Here is a 14,957-nt window from a genome sequence, read left to right as displayed (position 1 = left end):
GAGGGGGAGGGGAGAGGGAGGAGGAGGAGGAGGGAGAAGAAGGAAGAAGAAAAACTTTCTCCAATTTTTTATGGCTGGTAAAAGATGTCCTTAGGAAAAATAAGGAGACTATGTTGCAAAGCTTCATGAAACGAGACTTTAGAAACAGCTCTTTAGAATGAGAAGCTCTCTGCCAATGCAAAAAAAAACTATTAGGACACTATTTTGTTAGTACTAATGTCTGAATATATTGTTCTAAAATATGCTGGAATGTACTGAAATTGTATTTAACTGTCTAATTTATTAACTAAGTTCTTTGACTAGATGGTGAAGGAATGACTTTTTGAGTGGGGATTGCATGTTTGCATATTTTGAGATGGTCCACAACTAAATAAAATTGTATTCAAACCCAAATGCTGCCCTCGAGAGAAACTATTTTCCTAGATCCTAACCTATTGGGATTTTATCAGAGCCTAATCAACCTATGGGAAAGGAAATACCCAACTGCAGCTCTCTCTAGCTTTCCCCATGGGAGAAGGGAAATACCAAATACCAGTCTCCTCCAGCCGTCTTGTCCCATGTAAGGCAGGAAAAAACTGAGAGCCACTTGTGAAATTCACAGCCCAGGGGCACAGGCTCATTACAAGACTGAGGCTTAATCACAGGACTGTAGAATATTTTCCCTCCCTCAGACCTTACCACTAATTACTGAAGGCCTATTTACTGGATTTCTCTTCATCCACTACATCATATCCAGCTTTAAAAATTACAAGGCATACTAAAAGGCAAAACAAAACAAACAAACAAAAAAAACGCAGTTTGAAGAGACATAGCAAGCATCAGATCCAGAATCATATATGGCAGGGATGCTGGAATTCTTACAGCAGGAATTTAAAACATTTATTATTAATATGCTAAGGGCTCTAATGGAAAAAGTAGACAACCTGCAAGAACAAATGGGCAATGAAAGCATAAAGGAAGAAATTCTAAGAAAAAAGAAAAGGAATAATAGAAATCAAAAACACTGTAATAGAAATTAAGTATGCCTTTGATGGCTTCGTTAGTAGACTGGACATGGCTGAGGAAAGAATCTTTAAGCCTGAAGATATGTCAGTAGAAACTTCCAAAACTGAAAAGCAGAGAGAGAAGAAAAAAAAAAAAAACACTAAAAAACAAAACAAAGGGTTTCATTTTGGGGTGATAAAAATCCTTAAACTCAGATAGTAGTGACTTCTGCTTTCTGGTCTGGCATATAAGGAGCTTGGCAGTTACAACTCCACCCTAAGAAGAACTAAAAAGCGGAACAAACTGAAAAACCAATAACTCTTCTTAGATCCCTCAGAGAAGTGAAGTCACAGGGTAAACCATTGTCCTCAAACTGGAGAGACAGGCAAATACAGAGAATCACTACTTATGGAAGCAGAAACCCAGGAGAAAAAGCCTCTACCAAAACCAGTGCCAGGATGCAAAAACCTAAACAGTAATTGATGCATTTTGGAAGGTTCAATGTGTACAACTCTGAGAGTTGAAACTCCAGACTACCCAGTCATGGGAGACACTCATACTTTGGCGAGTTTTAATTCCAGGAGCTCAAGCAGGCTCTCACAGTGATTATCAGGGGAAAATCCCCTCATGCTTCTGGTAGAAGGAGGGGGAAATGAAGCATTTTGAAATATGCCAGACCATCCTGTTTGTCTTAACAAGGCCTGTCCTCAAGAGAAACTTTTTTTTTTTTTTTGAGACGAAGTCTTGCTCTGTCACCCAGGCTGGAGTGCAGTGGCGCGATCTCGGCTTACTGCAAGCTCCGCCTCCCAGGTTCACGCCATTCTCCTGCCTCAGCCTCCTGAGTAGCTGGGACTACAGGCACCCACCACCATGCCCGGCTAATTTTTTGTGTGTGTGTGTATGTTTAGTAGAGGCAAGGTTTCACCGTGTTAGCCAGGATGGTCTCGATCTCCTGACCTCGTGATCCACCCAACTCAGCCTCCCAAAGTGTTGGGATTACAGGTGTGAGCCATCACGCCCAACCAAGAGAAACTTTTTATCAGAGCCTAAACTATTCAGATTTTACCAGAGTCTAACCAACCTGGAGAAAGGGAAATACCTAACTGCAGCACACACTGGCCATCCTGTCCTGCTGAAGGACGGGAAGAAGATTGAGAAGCATGTGTAAAGTTCAGAGTCCAGAGGTACAGACTCTCTGTAAGACTGACACTTAATCATAGGAACATAAAAAGCCTCCTTTTCCCCCATGTTACTAAAGGCCTCTATGCAGCAGTTCCTTTCATCTACTGCATCATGAACAGATATCAAGAAAAAAATTACAAGGCATACTAGAAGGAAAAAAACACACAGTATGAAGTGACAGAGCAAGCAAGATGAGACTCAAATATGTCAGGGATGTTGGAATTTTCAGAGTAGAAATTTAAAACAACTATGACTAATATGCTAAGGGCTCTAGTGGATACACAGTAGAGAATGTGTGAGAACAGATGGGAAATGTAGGCACAGAGACTGAAATTCCAAGAAAGCATGAAAAGAAAATGATAGAGATAAAAAACACTTTAACAGAAATAAAGAATGCCTTTGAGTAGTAGGCTAGACATAGACGAGGAAAAAGATGCAGAGTTTGAGAATATCTCAATAGAAACTTCTGAAACTGAAAAGAAAAAAAAAAGACTAAGAAAAAAAGAACAGAATATCCTAGAACTGTGGGGCAACTACAAAAGTTATAATAGGTATAATGGGGATACCACAAGGAGAATAAAGAGAGAAAGAAATAGAAGAAGTTTTTGAAGTAATGAATGATACTTCCCCATTTTCTGCAAATTAATGTTAGACACCAAACCACAGATCTAACAAGCTCAGAGAACACCAAGCAGGATGAATGCCAAAAAACACCCCACAACTACACATATACATATGATATTCAAACTGTGAAAAATCAAAGGTAAAGAAAAAATCTTGAAAGAATCTAGAGGAAAAAAAAGATGTTACCTACAGAGTAGCAATAATTGTCCCTTAGTCTGAATCTTCTGCAGAATGACTTGTGTTTCATAAATAGCTCAAGACTTTCAAAAGCAGATACTTGAAATCATGAGTTCTCCAAGAAATAGATGTGTTTTGAGAAAATAAATGATGTGGACAGCAAACTATGCGAAGCACATTCTTTAAGCATTAGTGCAGTCGAGTGATGATGAAACACCAAATGGACCAAGTGCACACTGACTTCTACCTATTGGCTTCCTGCCCCACCATGACACAGGCCTTGCTTTCAGCTAAGCCTGCAAGCTGCTCTTGTAACCCTAACCTTCCTGATGTCAATTATCCAGTAAAATAATACTCAAGTGGATATCAAAATTAATACCTTCCTTTCGTGGACATATTGTTTCTACCCTGTATTGTCTCTCGGAATCAGTCATCCTGAATACAAATATTAAAGATTTTGTTCCTCAGTCATTCCCCTAGTTCACACAGCCAACAATCTAACTCTTTGGCAGGGAAATCTTAGCCCAGTGAACTAAATTTTTCCAAATTTCTCCACTTCCTACTGAGCAGAAAGTTGGAATTTTTATGATTGCAAATTTTGCACTGAACATGTGTTCAACAAATGCGACTCAAATATCAACTTCCCAAACCGAGTTCTATCTAGGGGGCATATGAAGGTTGGGGAAAAGGTAAAAGGAGCCTGGGACATACTTACGGTGATGGCAAGGGGTCATTCTTCATCCTAACTCCTCTGTTTTCTAAAGAAAGCCAGCCAGCATAGACAGAGAACCCCTACATAGCACTGGGGAATTAGGGGGTGGAAAGCAGAAAGACCACTGGGGAACCTGGAAACTAGACGTAGATATGTTTGTTTCCTGTCCAAAACAAATCTTTTCCCATATTTGTTTCACATAGATTATATCTTCAAAGGCATGATCCTCTCCTCTTGTGAATGCAAAATTTAGGAAGATTAAATGTGTTTGTGGTTAAAATTGTTTCTTATAACCAATTCTGAGGCATTTAGAAAACTTGAGGGAACTCTGTGATCCCTTGAGTCCACAGATAGCAGAATAGACCCTCTGGGATGAACCAAGGGTTCTTGTGAGTTTTAGGAACAGACCTTATGTCATATATCACTTTTCTCTGCCAGCCAAGCTGGTACAAATCCTACATATGACTTTGCATCATGATAACAGGAAGAAGTCACATTTCTGGCAAATTCAGTTATACAGAACACAGTCTCAAATTTAAAAGAAAAATCACTGAAGCCATAAGACAAATCACAAAGGAAATGCACTAAAGCTTGAGTTTTTAGGGTTCTCAATCCTATTGACTCTTACTCTACATACAATCTAACATGCCTAATTGCATGGTGAAGAACTTTGACTGCTGTCACGCCATGCAAGATTGGATTCCTGGCTTTGCTTCTAATTAATCACCAACCAGGGTAAGTATGTGCAGCCTCTCTAAACCTCTACTTAACTGTAAAATGGGGATGATCATGGTGCCAACATCTTAAGATCAAATGAGATATAAGAAAAGACGTGTTTAGTACAGTGTGTGGCCCATGGTAATTGCTTAATAAATATTTCCAGTTATTATTATAGCTAAAGAAATGGAGAAGAAAAATTATAAAAGAACTAAAAGGCCACAGCAGACTGAGGCATTTATTACTGCAGGAGTATCCTCTCATAGTCCTGTGATCACTGATGTAATTAATGTATTGGCACAAAAGATGATAATCAGCTTCCATGAGGAGAATCAGGGTTATTAAGAAAAACTTAGATGATCCTCAAGACAACTTTTTTAAGATGATAGAAATGTTAGAAAATTTCTTCAATGTATTATTTTTCTTATCAAAAAATAAACTCAATTATAATAAAATAAAACATCCTTGAAGTTTAATAAAAATCTACTTAATTAGGTATTTGTTTCTGGGAAGATGGAATATCCAACTTTTTCCCTATTCTCAACAAGGACAACTAAAAACACTGCACCTTATATACAGAATAAACAGAAGAATCTGAGAGGTGGAGAGAAAGCAGACTGCCTAGACGTCAGGCCCTGAGAAATGATGCAGTGCTGAATTCCCTGAATTTCTTTTTGCTCCATATAACCCAGGCTTGGAGCTAAAGAAGCTGGCAACCCAGAAACACCAACCCAGATTTTAAAAGCCCTAACAAAAGTTGGTTCTCTCTAGCTAAAGGACCAAGAAAGGGGAAGCTAGCAAACTTTAGACAGTAACTTCTCTACTTCAGCCAAACACCCTAGACAAACTGTGGCCCAGCTCCCACTCATGCCAGCAGATGTCAAGTGGGAATCCCAGATTTCCACCCTCATGAGGCTGTGATGAGGTGCCCCAACATCCCTGGTAAGGTGGCATCAGAGAGGCCAAGTAGGGAGCTAAGACTCTTATCCTTGCTGGCTGGTAATAAGTCCTTTCCAACCCTCACAAGTTCAGTGGAAAGCACATGGTGGGTTTAGACCGCCATCTCCACCCAGAGTAACAAAATGCCACTCCCTCTCCCTGCAAAGGAGGTATCAGAGGAGGAACCCTGGAGAGTCGGGACTTTCATTGTTGTCCAACAGTAATGAGGATACACCCAACAGATTGTCAGTTATGATCATATGGGGAGTCAGAATTCCCACTTTTGACCAGCAGTAAAGAGAAGTCTGCATCCTTGGGTGTCAACAAAGGAGCAGCAGAGAACCTGGACTTCTACCTGCGCCTGGAAGGAGAAGATGGTACCTCCTTACCCTGACAGAGTTGTGTGGGATCCAGTTAACACTGATTTAGATAAGATCCAAAGTTGCCTAGCAAAATATGAACCTGTCCAGATTACACTTAAAAATCATTCACAGTTCATGTCCTTTGCAGGGACATGGATGAAGCTGGAAACCATCATTCTCAGCAAACTAACACAGGAACAGAAAACCAAACACTGCATGGTCTCACTCATAAGTGGGAGTTGAACAATAAGAACACATGGACACAGGGAGGGGAACATCACACATCAGGGCCTGTTGGGGGCTAGGGGGCTAGGGGAGGGAGAACATTAGGAGAAATGCCTAATGTAGATGACAGGCTGATGGGTGCAGCAAACCACCATGGCACATACATACATATGTAAAAAATCTGCACGTTCTCCACATGTATCCCAGAACTTAAAGTATAATAATAATAATAATAATAATAATAAAGAAATGGTCAAAGCAAGAAAAGAACTAAAAAAAAAAAGCACTCATCATGCTAAGAACTAGGAAGATACCAAAATAATTAAAAAATAACAATCAAAAAATGCGAACACCAAGATGCTAGAGATATTATGATCATCTGACAACAATTTTATTTTATCTATTTTTTGGGGGGTGCTTTCATGTGTTTTAAATTTTAAGTTCCAGGACACATGTGCAGGATGTGCAGGTTTGTTACATAGGTAAATGTGTGCCATGGTGGTTTGCTGCACCTATCAACCCATCACCTACGTATTAAGCCTCGCATGCATTTGCTATTTATCCTGATGCTCTCCTTCCCCCTACTCCTCCAACAGGCCCCGGTGTGTGTTGTTACTCTCACTGTGTCCATGTGTCTGACTAAAATTTTAAAGCAATAAAAACGAAAATGCTCAGTGAGCAATTATGAACCTGCTTGAAACGAATGAAAAGATCAAGTCTCAGGAATAAAATTAAATGTCTTAGTAAATAAATATAAAATATATGGAACAAATAAAAATTTTACAACTGAAAACTATGAGAAATGAACTAAATAATGTAATGGACGAACTCAACAGCAGAATTAAAGGGGTGGAGGAAAGAATAAAGGAACTGGAAGAAAGAGCAATGGTAATAACCAATCTGAACAACAAAAAGAAGACAGACTGGAAAAAAAAGAACAGAGCCTCAAGGGCCTATGGGGATATACAAAAGACCTAACATTTATGTCATTAAAGTCCTAGAAGGAGAGGAGAAAGAGAGTGGGACTGAAAAAGTATTCAAAGAAATAATGGGTGAAAACTTCCCATGTTTGGAAACAGACATAATCATACAGATTAAAGAAGTTCAGTGAACCCCAAAAATGACAAACCCAAAGAAACATATGCCAAGACACATCATAACTAAACTTCTAAAAACTAAAGACAGAGAAAATCTTGAAAACAGCCAAAGAGCTCCCCCTCCCCTCCCCTCTCCCTCTCCCGTCTCCCTCTCCCTCGTCTCCCTCATCTCCCTCTCCGTCTCCCTCTCCCTCTCCCTCACTTTGCACGGTCCTCGTCTCCCCTTTGCACGGTCTCCCTCTGATGCCTAGCCGAGACTGGACTGTACTGCCGCCATCTTGGCTCACTGCAGCCTCCCTGCCTGATTCTCCTGCCTCAGCCTGCGGAGTGCCTGGGATTGCAGGCGGGCGCCGCCACACCTGACTGGCTTTTGATTTTTTGGTGGAGACGGGGTTTCGCCTTGTTGGCCGGGCTGGTCTCCAGCTCCTGACCGCGAGTGGTCTGCCAGCCTCGGCCTCCCGAGGTGCCGGGATTGCAGATGGAGTCTCGCTCACTCAGTGCTCAATGTTGCCCAGGCTGGAGTGCAGTGTCGTGATCTCCGATCGCTACAACCTCCACCTCCCAGCCACCTGCCTTGGCCTCCGAAAGTGCTGAGATTGCAGCCTCTGCCCGCCACCACCCCGTATAGGAAGTGAGGAGCGTCTCTGCCTGGCCGCCCATCGTCTGGGATGTGAGGAGCCCCTCTGCCTGGCCGCCCAATCCGGGAAGTGAGGAGCGCCTCTTCCCGGCCGCCACCCAGTCTAGGAAGTGAGGAGGGTCTCTGCCTGGCTGCCCATCGTCTGGGATGTGAGGAGCCCCTCTGCCTGGCCGCCCAGTCTGGGAAGTGAGGAGCGCCTCTTCCTGGCCGTCATCCCATCTAGGAAGTGAGGAGCGTCTCTGCCCGGCCGCCCATCATCTGGGATGTGGGGAGCACCTCTGCCCCGCCACCCCATCTGAGATGTGAAGAGTGCCTCTGCCCGGCCGTGACCCCGTCTGGGAACTTAGGAGTGTCTCTGCCTGGCCGCCACCCCGTCTGGGAGGTGAGGAGCGTCTCTGACTGGCCATCCCATCTGAGAAGTGAGGAGCCCCTCCGCCCGGCAGCCACCCCGTCTGGGAAGTGAGGAGCGTCTCCGCCCGGCAGCCACCCCGTCCGGGAGATTGGGGGCAGCCCCCGCCCGGCCAGCCGCCCCGTCCGGGAGCTGGGGGGCAGTCCCCGCCCGGCCAGCCGCCCCGTCCGGGAGCTGGGGGGCAGTCCCCACCCGGCTGCCGCCCCATCTGGGAGGTGGGGGGCGCCTCTGCCCTGCCGCCCGGTCTGGGAAGTGGGGAACCCCTCTGCCCGGCTGCCACCCCGTCTGGGAGGTGGGGGGCCCCTCTGCCCGGCAGCACCGACTGGGAAGTGAGGAGGCCCTCTGCCCGGCCACCACCCCGTCTGGGAGGTGTACCCAGCTGCTCACTGAGAACGGGCCATGATGACAATGGCAGTTTTGTCGAATAGAAAAGGGGGAAATGTGGGGAAAAGAAAGAGAGATCAGATTGTTATTGTGTCTGTGTAGAAAGAAGTAGACATAGGAGACTCCATTTTGTTCTGTACTAGGAAAAATTCTTCTGCCTTGGGATGCTGTTAATCTATAACCTTACCCCCAACCCCGTGCTCTCTGAAACATGTGCTGCGTCCACTAAGGGTTAAATGGATTAAGGGCGGTGCAAGTTGTGCTTTGTTAAACAGATGCTTAAAGGCAGCATACTGGTTAAGAGTCATCACCACTCCCTAATCTCAACTACCCAGGTACACAAACACTGCGGAAGGCAGCAGGACCCTCTGCCTAGGAAAACCAGAGACATTTGTTCACATGTTTATCTTCTGACCTTCCCTCCACTATTGTCCTATGACCCTGCCAAATCCCCCTCTCCAAGAAACACCCAAGAATGATCAATAAATACTAAAAAAAAAAAAAAACAAAAAACTGCCAAAGAAAAATGATACCTTACCTATAGGGGAAAAACACTTATATTGACCCTGGATTTCTCATCAGAAACCATGGAAGCCAGAGAGAATTAGCACATTATTTTTCAATTGCCAAAGTAAATGTCAATTCAGAATCCTGTATCCAGTGAAAATATCCTTTAGGAATGAAGGCAAAATTCAGACATTCTCAGATGAGGAAACACTAAGAGTGTCCATCAGCAACAGACCTGCCCGAAAATAATGTATAAAGGACGTTGTCTAGACAGAAAGAATGTCAAAGAGAAGGTTTAAAAGAAGGAATCTTGGGACATCAGGAAGAAAGAAAGAATATGGTAAGCAAAAAATAGAAATAAATAAAATACTTTTCTTCACCACTTCAGGTTTTTAATGTTTCTTTGATGGTGAAGCAAAAATTATAACATTGTTTCATCTTGGTTCTAAATGGATCTAGAGGAAATATTTAAGATAACTGTATTTTAAATGAGGAAGAGTAAAGGGATATAATGGAAGGTATGGTTTCTATACTTCATTCAAACTGTAAACTGACAACATCAATAGAATGGGATAAATTATACACACACACCCGCACACACCCACACACATACACACACACACACACAGACACACATCCACACATAGACACACACACACATCCACACACACAAACAGTGCCACCTACAGCAACCACTGAAAAAGCTATTCAAAGAGATATACTAAAAAACACTATAGACAAATAAAAATGTAATTCTAAAACATGCTCAAGTAATCCATAAGAATGCAAAGGAAAGTCCAGGTCCAGTGGCTCATGCCTGTAATCCCAGCACTTTGGGAGGCTGAGGCAGGCAGATCACTTGAGGTCACAAGTTTGACACCAGTCTGGCCAACATGGTGAAATCCCATCTCTACTAAAAATACAAAAATTAGCCAGGCATGGTGATGGGCACCTGAAATTCCAGCTACTGGGGAGGCTGAGGCAGGGGAATCAATTGAACCCGGGAGGCAGAGATTGCAGTGAGCTGAGATCACACCACTGCACTCCAGCCTGGGTGACAAAGCGAGACTCCATCAAAAAAAAGAATGCAGAGAAATAAAAACCAAAGAGAATAAACAGAAAACAAACAAACAATAAATGGCACACTTAAACCCTAACATATCAATAATTATATTAAATGTAAATAGTCTAAATATACCAAGGAAAAAAACAGATACTGGCAGAGTGGATTAAAAAGCATGACCCAACCATATATTCTCTACAAGAAACACATTTCAAACATAATGATGTAGACAAGTTAAAAGTTAAAAGATGGAAAAAGATACACTATGCAAACATTAATCAGAGGAAAGCAGGAGTAACTGTATTAACATTAGACTAAGTAGACTTCACAGCAAAGAAAATTACTATAGACATATAGGGACACAATATAATGATAAAGGCACAGTTCGCTAAGAAGACATAGCAGTCCTAAATGTGTATGTACCAAACAAACTGCAAAATATGTGAGGCAAAAACAGAACTGAAAGGAGAAATGGGCAAATCTGCAAGTATAACTGGAGATATCAAAAACCTTCTCTCAACAATTGGTACAAAAACTAGACAGAAAATCGGCCGGGCATGGTGGCTCACGCCTGTCACTTGAGGTCAGGAGTTCAAGACCAGCCTGGCCAACACAATGAAACCGTCTCCACTGAAAATACAAAAATTAGCTGGGCATGGTGGTGCGTGCCTGCAATCCCAGCTTCTCGAAGGCTGAGGCAGGAGAATCGCTTTGAGACAGGAAAATCACCTTAATCCAGAAGGCAGAGGTTGCGGTGAGCCAAGATTGCGCCATTACACTCTAGCCTGGGTAACAGAGCAGCGTCAAGACTCTGTCTCAAAACAAAAAAAAAAACAAAACTAGACAAAAAATCAGCTAAGATGTATAAGAAATCAACAATACCTATCAACAATAGGATCTTAACAGTTTAACATTTATAGAATATTTCACCCAATGACAGTAGAACACATTCTTTTCCAAGTATCTACAGAATATATACCAAGATAGACCATATTCTGGGCAACAAAACAAATCTCAACACATTTAAAAGAACCAAAATCACATAGAGTGCATTCTTGAACTGCAATGGAATCAAAATAGAAATCAATAACAGAAAGTAACAGGAAAACTTCTAGGAAATTAATGAGCGTACTTCTAAATAATCCATGGGTCAAAGGGGAAGCCACAAAGAAAATTTCAAAATACATTGCATTGAGTGAAAATAGAAATATAGCCTATCGAAATGCATGAGTTCTGAAAGTAAAATTCGTAACATTAAACACATACCTTAGAAAACAGGAAAAGTCTCAAGTCAATGATTTAACCTTCCACCTTAAGTGCTGAGGAGTAAAAAAGAGCCAAAGAAACCCAAAGTAAGCAGAAGGATGGAAATAATGATGATTAAAAGCAGAAAAAAATTAAATTGAAGATAGAAACACAAGAGAGAAAAATCAACGAAACAAAGAACTGGTTCCCTGAAAAGACTAATAAAATCAACAAACCTGCAACCAGGATAAGCTAGACAGTAATATTAGACATAAATAAATAAATAAGAATTTAAAAAAAAAAATCAAACCTCTAGCAAAACAAAAGAGAGAGAGAGAGAACGAGAAGACAGAGATTACCAATATCAGGGGTGAGACTGGGAATATCACTACAGACATCAAAATATAATAAGGCAGAGGAGGGGTGGAACCAGATGGCCAAATAGAAGGCTCCACTGATCATCCCTCTACACAAGAACACCAAATTTAACAACTATCTACATTTTTAAAAAGCCTTCTTAAGAACAACAACAAAAAAATCAGGTGGGCACTCACATCACCTGATTTTAACTTCATATCACTGAAAAAGGCACTGAATGGGGGAGGAAAGACAGTCTTGAATTGCCAATGTCACTCCTCCCTTACCCCCTGGTAGCAGCCATGTGGCATGGAGAATCTGTGCACTTGGGAGAGGGAGAGCATGGCAATTGTGAGACTTGGCATTGAACTCAGTGCTGCCCTGTCACAGTGGAAAGCAAAATCAGGCTAAACTCAGCTGATGCCCGCCCAGAGGGAGCATTTACACCAGCCCTAGCCAGAGGAGAACTGCCCACTCCAACAGTTGGAACTTGAGTTTCGGCAAGCCTCACCACCATGGGCTAAAGCGCTCTGGGTCCCTAAATAAACTTAAAACGCAGTTTAGGCCTTTTAAGGAGTACTGCAACTCCTAGGCAAGTGCTGGTGCTGAGTTGGGCTTGGAGACAGTGAACTTGGAGGGCCATACAATTTACTGAGACACAAGCTGGGGCAGCTAAGGGAGTGCTTGTGCCACTCCTCCCACAGCCCCAGGCAGCACAGCTTGTGGTTCTAAAATGGACCCCTTCCTTCTGCTTGAGAAGAGAAGAGGGACAAAGAGGTCTTCGTCTTGCATCATAGATACCAGCTCAGCCACAGTAGGATAGGGCACCAGGCAGAGTAATGAAGACCCCATTCCAGGCCCTAGCTCCCAGATGACATTTCTAGACATATCTAGGGCCAGAGGGAACCTGCTGCCTTGAAGGGAAGGACCCAGTCCTAGAAGGATCCATCACTTACTGACTAAAGAGCCCTTAGGCCTGGAGAAATCTACCTGGTGTTCTATTCTGGTGTGGCTGAGATGGCACTCAAACCATGAGATGTGATTCCCAGGTAGTACACCGTGGGCCTTGGGTGGGACTCTTGAGACATGCTGACTTCAAGTGAGATTCAGAGCATTCCCAGTTGTGGTGGCTATGATGAGAGACTCCTTCTGCTTGAGAAAAGCAGAGAGAAAGAAAAGGAGACTTTGTCTTGCACTCTAGCTACCACGTCAGCCACAGGGAAGTAGAGCAGCAAGTGGGCTCTTGGAGGTTTCCAATTCCAGGCCTTGGCTCTTGAACATGATTTCTGGACCTGCCCAGGGCCAGAGGGAAGCCCACTGCCCTGAAAGTAAGTCCCAGGCCTGGCAGCATTCGCCACAAGCTAACTGAAGAGCCTTTGGGAGTTTAACTGAACATTGTTGGTAGCTTGGCAGTACTACTCCCTGTGGGCCTACGGTGGTGGTGGCTACAGGGTGAGGCTCCTCTACCTGTAGAAAAGGGAGGAAAGAGTGGGAAAGACTGCATCTCATGGTTTGAGTGCCATCTCAGCCACAGTAGAATGGAATAGCAGGTAGATTTCTAAGGTTGTTGACTCCAGTTCCTGGATCCTGGATAACATCTCCGGACCTGCCTGTTGGCCTGTGAGAACTTGCTGCCCTGAAAGGAAGAACACAAGCCTGGCTGACTTCACCACCTGCTGACTGTAGAGCCCTAGGGCCTTGAGCAAACCTAGGCAGTAGCCAGGTAGTGCTTTAGTGGGCCTTGGGCAAGACCCAGTGCTGTGCTGGCTTCAAGTCTGACCCAGCACATTCCCAGTGGTGGTGGCCATGGGGTGCTTTTCTCACCCCATCCCCAGCTCCAAGCAGCACAGCACAAAGAGACTGTATTTGTTTGGGAGAAAGTAAGGGAAGAGAACAAGAGTCTCTGCCTGGTAATCCAGAGAATTCTTCCAGATCTTATCCAAGACCACAAAGACAGTGCCTCTACAAGTCTGCAAGAACCACAGTGTTACTAGGCTTGAGGTGCCCCTTAATACACATATAGCTTACATCAAAACCTAAGTCCTTTCAAATACCTGACAAACATTCCCAAGAAGGATGGATACAAACAAGCCCAGACTGTGAAGATTACAATAAATAGCTAACTTGTCAATGTCTAGACACCAACAAACATCCTCAAGCATCACTATCATCCAGGAAAACATGACATCACCAAATGAACTAAACAAGTCACCAGGGACCAATCCTGGAGAAACAGAGATATGTGATCTTTCAGACACAGAATTCAAAATAGCCGTTTTGAGGAAACTCAGAGAAAGAAATTCAAGATCACACAGAGAAGAAATGCAGAATTCCATCAGATAAATTTAACAAAGAAACTGACATTATTAAAAAGAATCAAGCAGAAATTCTGGACTTGAAAAATGCAGTAGAGATATTGAAAAATGCATCAGAATATCTTAGTAGCATAATTGATCAAGCAGAAGAAAGAATAAGTGAGCTTCAAGACAGGCTATTTGAAAATACATAGAGAGAGGAGACAAAAGAATAAAGAATAGAAAAGAATGGAGCATGCCTGCAAGATTTCGAAAAAGCATAAAAGGGGGCAAATCTAAGAGTTATTGGCCTTAAAGTGAGGTAGAAAAAAAAGATAGGAATACAAAGTTTATTAATAATGGAGAACTTGCAAAACCTAGAGAAAGATATCAATATCCAAGCACAAACAGTTTTACACTAAGCAGATTTAACCCAAAGAAGACTACCTCAAGGCATTTAATAATCAAACTCCCAAAGGTCAAAGATAAAGAAAGAATCCTAAAAGCATCAAGAGAAAAGAAGCACATAACATACAATGGAGCTCCAATATGCCTGGCGGCAGACTTTTTAGAGAAAACCTCACAGGCCAGGAGAGAATGGAATGACATATTTAAAGTTCTGAAAGAAGAAAACTTTTACCCTAGAATAGTATATCTGGCAAAAATATCCATCAAACATGAAGGAGAAATAAAGACTTTCCTAGACAAACAGAAGCTGAGGGATTTCATCAATACCAGTCCTACAAGAAATGCAAATGGAGGTACTTCAATCAAAAAGGAAAGGACATTAAGAGCAATAGGAAATCATCTGAAGGTATAAAACTCACTGGTGATAGTAAGTACACAGAAAAACAGAATATCATAATACTGTAACTGTGGTGTGTAAACTACTGTTATCTTAAGTAGAAAGACTAAAAGATGAAACAATAAAAAATAATAACTACAAAAACTTTTCAAGACATAGACGATGCAATAAGATATAACTAAAAACAACAAAAAGTTTCTAAAGTAGGGGGGATGAAGTTAAAGTGTAGTTTTTACC

The 14,957-nt window shown here is 42.5% G+C and overlaps 2 annotated features.

The window, feature by feature from the left end:
- Window positions 1,325-1,374: an enhancer, noted in NCBI's record as "active region_28484". NCBI's record gives its function as "activates an Ori minimal core promoter by ATAC-STARR-seq in GM12878 lymphoblastoid cells {active_cell/tissue: GM12878}" and the evidence as "EXISTENCE:reporter gene assay evidence [ECO:0000049][PMID:35858748]".
- Window positions 3,032-3,326: an enhancer, noted in NCBI's record as "tiled region #6496; HepG2 Activating non-DNase unmatched - State 9:DNaseU". NCBI's record gives its function as "activates a minimal TATA promoter and a strong SV40 promoter by Sharpr-MPRA in HepG2 cells {active_cell/tissue: HepG2}" and the evidence as "EXISTENCE:reporter gene assay evidence [ECO:0000049][PMID:27701403]".

The sequence above is a fragment of the Homo sapiens genome, chromosome 9, assembly GCF_000001405.40.
Source record: "Homo sapiens chromosome 9, GRCh38.p14 Primary Assembly".
Lineage (NCBI taxonomy): Eukaryota > Metazoa > Chordata > Mammalia > Primates > Hominidae > Homo > Homo sapiens.
The sequence above is the reverse complement of the archived record's forward strand: the minus strand, read 5'-3'. Positions and strand labels throughout refer to the sequence as shown.